This window comes from Homo sapiens, chromosome 13 (genome assembly GCF_000001405.40).
Source record: "Homo sapiens chromosome 13, GRCh38.p14 Primary Assembly".
Lineage (NCBI taxonomy): Eukaryota > Metazoa > Chordata > Mammalia > Primates > Hominidae > Homo > Homo sapiens.
This window is the reverse complement of record NC_000013.11, coordinates 109,857,385-109,862,461: the sequence shown is the minus strand read 5'-3', so window position 1 is coordinate 109,862,461 and position 5,077 is coordinate 109,857,385. Positions and strand designations below refer to the sequence as shown.

The following is a 5,077-nucleotide window of genomic DNA, read 5'->3' as shown; positions in this document are numbered from 1 at the left end:
AGAGAAAATGCTTCTATTGTGCACTGAAATTTAGTGGACTTCTCATCCGCTCAGCTGCCAGGCTAGAGACCTTGCCTTGAGGTTCTACCCGGCACATCGCTTGTTATCTTTTTTCTCTGCCAACAATTGCTATTATTTCTTCCTCTGAAGTTGACCTCAAATTAGACATTTCCTCTCCATTCTGTCACCTCTAATCTCCTCCTGCCCGTATTGTTTCCTGGCTGGCATTCTTGCCATTCATGTATCTCCCCTCAAAGCCACCCTCAATATTTTTGCAGCTATCTTCCTCAAACAAGGTTTAACCAGGTCACTCTGTTCTGAAGATTGCATCATGGATTCATAGTGCCTCAGCAACCATGTTCCATTTTCTCTGCCTAATTTTCAATCCATTCCTAACTTGGGCCCACCAGTTGTATGCAATTCTATTTCCTTCTTCTTTCTACAATGCAAAATTTAGTTCAGAGGTAGCATAACATTGCGGTTAAAAAAGCATTTATTTGGCTTTATGACCTATAAGCTATGACCCCTGAATAACTTCTATGTGCCTCAGTTTCCTGATAGGTTAAAGTAGGTGTAATCATATTCACCTTACATAGTTGTGGTAAATAGTAAATGATTCAATATACATAAAATGCTTAGAATGGTACTACTCCTAGTCAAAGCTGTAGGTACAGAGAAACAGATAATTATTAAGATGAAGTATATCTGCTTTCCTTTTTCAGCCCTGAACTTGCTCATACCTCTCCTTTTTATTTATTTATTTATTTTTACACAGAGTCTCACTCTGTCCCCAGGCTGGAGTGCAGTGGCGTGATCTTGGCTCACTGGAACCTCCACCTCCCAGGTTCAAGCAATTCTGCCTCAGCCTCCCAAGTAGCTGGGACTACAGGCGCATGCCACCACACCCAGCTAATTTTTGTATTTTTAGTAGAGATGGTGTTTCACCATATTGGCCAGGCTGGTCTCGAACTCCTGACCTCATGATCCATCCTCCTCAGCTTCCCAAAGTGCTGGGATTACAGGTGTGAGCCACCATGCCTGGCCCATACCTCCCCTTTTTATAGCAGTATCTAAACTCTGTAGCCTTTCAAGACTGTAACACATCCCACATCACTGACAAAAATTTAGCTCTTCTCTTCTCTGGACTCTTCCATCTTGTCCTTAACATCTGTTCTTCATAGACAGCCCCTCCAGCAAAATTTTTGGAGTAGGTTATGTTGAAATCCTCAGCTAAAATGTAATCTTCATTCATTCATTTGTTAACTTATTTTCTCAACAAACATCTCTTGAGAACATGTGCATGGTTTATGACCTTTCACTCAATAAATGTATCCTTGGTTGACCTGTAATCTGTACCTTTATAATATGAAAATAAACTTTTAACAAATGTATTGTTTCCTTTAATTTCTGCAACATTCATTGAGCTCCTATCTTTGCATTAGAAATGCAAAGATAAAACAAGAGTCCATGCCCTCAAAGAGCTCAGAGTCTAGCAGGAGATTCAAACTTACAAACTCATCATTTTAGTATCACAATATCAGAGCTTACATTCTATTATATTCTGGAAATGTTTGCATTGTTCCCATTCTGATAAAATTTCCTTCATATATATATATATAATATAAATGTATATATGTATATGTATGTACATATATATTCATATACATCATATATATATATTCCTTGCCACCTTTGTGGTGGGCAGAATAATGGACCCCAGGGATTCTGAGCCGATTCTGTCTCTGGGACATGTGATTAAGTTATGTCTCATGGCAAGGGGAATTAAGGCTGCCAATGGAGCTGAAGTTGCTTATCAGCTGATCTTGAGATAGGAGCCTCCTTCAGTGGGAGCTGGAGAGAACCACCCCACAAGTCCAAGTTCCTATCTCAAGATAGCCTTCGTTGCTCATCAGCTGATCTATAAAGACCTATAAGGGCCTTTATAAGTGAAAGGGGCAGGCAGGAGGGTCAGTGTTAGAGGGAGGCTGTGAATGGCTAAGCAGCCACTGCTGACTATGATGATGGCACCTGGCCATGAGCTGAGGAATGAGGACTTGCAATACCTTGATTTTAGCCCAGTGAGACCCCTTTTGGACTCTGACCTGCAGAATTGTAAGACACCTGTAGTAAATAGCAGCAATAAGAAACTGATATATCCTTAAAATGCAAGGTAGCAATTATCCCGGATGTCAGCATTGGTTCAGGCTAAATTAGATAAAGGGTTTCAAAAGCTTTACACTTATTAAAGTGAGAGAAAAAAATGCCATTTTAAACAGGCAAAGAATTGCGCAGTTATTGTGGTTGATCTAGGTCCATAATCCTGTAGACTTCCTTCCCCTCAGCTGAGCTGTTCAGGCATTCTCTATAGCTCTGACCACAAATCTGATTTCAGCCCGGGAGGTGGGAAGGAGCCTACCCAAGTTCACCTGCTTCTATTCCTGCTTGGAACACTCCTCCCAGTGTAGTTAAGAGTTACAGATTTATTTGGGTGGACAAGCCTCTGTCTTTCCCTCAAGTAAAATAACTAGGTCCTATGTTGTTTGCTGCTCCTGAACTATTTTGTATCTGAATTCCAGTCCTCTAAGCCTTTCTTTTCATGCAGTCCTTCCAAGGAATGCAACTCTGAGTCCAGACTTTTCACCCTTCTGCAAAATCCTCTTGACACCAGACACCTGACCATGGGATTTCCGAATGTGCCAGCTCCCAGGACCTCAGGCTGTCTTGCTAGGATGCCACCTGCTAACTTTAGTGTCGTGACGTGTTAGTCAAGCCCAATGCCATTCAGGTGCTGTCACTAGGCTCCGTGATCTTCCTGACTGTTCACATTTCCAGCTGCCCCTGCAGCTCAGGACAAGCTTAGTCAATTAGCATTTCCTTGCCCCACAAAGCCGACTCCATACTTTGCCCAGTCTTCAAGATCCAAATTTTTTTTCTCAGCAGCTGCCCCCCACCATCTCAGGGAGAAGGCAGTAGCTCTTGCACTTTGCAGTCTTTCACTGCCTTAAAGTGTCACCTCCCAGCTGATCTCTATGTACCCATCTCCCCGCCGCCCCACAGACTCCACCACAACTGCACCTAGACTCCCCTGACCCTCCTGCCTCCACCACTCACAACACCTGGGACTTTGCCATGTATCCGCACTTGTTTTCTTAAGGGAGAGAAATGTTTCTATATGCTTTATTCTTACTATTTTTTATTGTGATAAAGCACATATAACATAAAATTTGCAATTTTAACCATTTTGAAATCTACCATTCAGTGACATTAACGACATTCACGATGTTGTACACCCATCACCACCATCCCTCTCCAGAACTTCATCTTCCCAGATGGAAACTCTGTCCCCGTGAAACACTCCCCATTCCCCTCCCCCAGCCCATGGCAAACATCATTCTGCCTTCTCTCTCTGTGATGGTGACAGGTCTAGCAACTGCCATAAGGAGAATCACACAGAATTTGTCTGTGTTTGGCTTAGTTCACTAAGGATAATGTCTTTAAGGTTCATCCATGTCATACCCTGTGTCAGAATTTTATTTCTTTTTAAAGATGAATGATATTTCTTTGTTTGTCTATACCACATTTTGTGTATCTTTATTTATTTATTTTTTTTTTTGAGGCATAGTTGTGCTCTTTCACAGAGGCTGGAGTGTAGTGGTGCAATCTTGGCTCACTGCAACCTCCACCTCCTCGATTCAAGCGATTCTCCTGCCTCAACCTCCTGAGTAGCTGGGATTACAGTTGCGTGCCACCAAGCCCGGCTAATTTTTATATTTTTAGTAGAGACGGGGTTTCGCCATATTGGCCAGGCTGGTCTTGAACTTCTGACTTCAAGTAATCCACCTGAGTCGGCCTCCCAAAGTGCTGGGATTACAGGTATGAGCCACCACGCCCAGCCTTGTGTATCTATGTATTTATTGATGAACACTTATGAGTAATACCCTTGAACACGTGTATAGAGGTATCTGAGTCATTGCTTTCAATTCCTTTAGGTACATTTCCAGAAGTGGGTTAACTGGGTCATATGGCAATTCTACTTTCAGCTTTCAGGGGAACTGCCATGCTGTTTTCCACAGTGGCTGGACTATTGTACAATACATTTCCACCAGCAACGCTTGAGGGTTCCAATTTCCCCACATCCTGGCCAATGCTTCTTTTCTGTGTTCTTGTGTGTAGCTATCCTGGGCTGTGTGGTCCTTGTCCTTTCCTCACTTCTTCTCTGGCTCTTTTCCCGCAAGCTGCAAAACATGCAGATGTGTCCTCAGGTCTTAGAGCAAATTTTCTTTGGACAGGATTTTCACATGGATGTGTTTTGCTCTCAACTTTAACCCCAAATTCTTTTTTTTTTTTTTTTGCAGGAGACTAGAGTTTTAATGTTATGCAAATCAGTCTCCCCGAACATTCCATTCGAGGATCAGAGAGTTTAAGGACAGCTTGGTGGGCCGGGGGAAGCTGATGAGCCGGGAGTGCTGATTGCTCAGGTCAGAGATGAAATCATAGAGAGTTGAAGCTGTCTTCTTGTACCGAGTCAGTTCCTGGATGGGGGCCACAAGATCATATGAGCCAGTTTATCCATCTGGGTGGTGCCAGCTGATCCACCAAATTCAGCGTCTGCGAAATATATGAAGCTAAGCTCAAATTCTTAAAAGTAGTCCAAAGTCATTTGCCTTAGTCAATACCTCAGATTCTCTCCTTAATCTAACAAAATACGACATGTATAGCTGCTACATTCATGAAGCTTCGGGTTTCCAATTCTCTTTTTCCACCCTCATCCAACACAATTCCCTCTGGCCCTACCACTCCCAGTTCGGCTTGCATACTGGTGTCGTCAGCATCACCTGGGAGCTTGTGGGAGGTAGGCTCATCAGCCCTCCCCAGACATACGTAATCAGGATCTGCAGGGGCACAGGTCCCCACGTGGTTCCCTAGGCTCAGCTCTGCAGGGTTATAACCCATTGACATCCCCTCTTCCTTGAGACAATCTTGTCCCTGGGCACATCCCAAGCTGCTCTCTTGGGATGCATCTCCTGCCTCCCTGGAGGTTGCTTCTTGGCATCTTTGCTTGCCTGCCTCTTTGACC

The 5,077-nt window shown here is 43.5% G+C and overlaps 1 annotated feature.

The window, feature by feature from the left end:
- Window positions 3,671–4,870: an enhancer, noted in NCBI's record as "BRD4-independent group 4 enhancer chr13:110509939-110511138 (GRCh37/hg19 assembly coordinates)". NCBI's record gives its function as "activates an origin of replication core promoter dependent on BRD2, P300/CBP, MED14 and CDK7 cofactors, and independent of BRD4, by STARR-seq in HCT116 cells {active_cell/tissue: HCT116}" and the evidence as "EXISTENCE:reporter gene assay evidence [ECO:0000049][PMID:35650434]".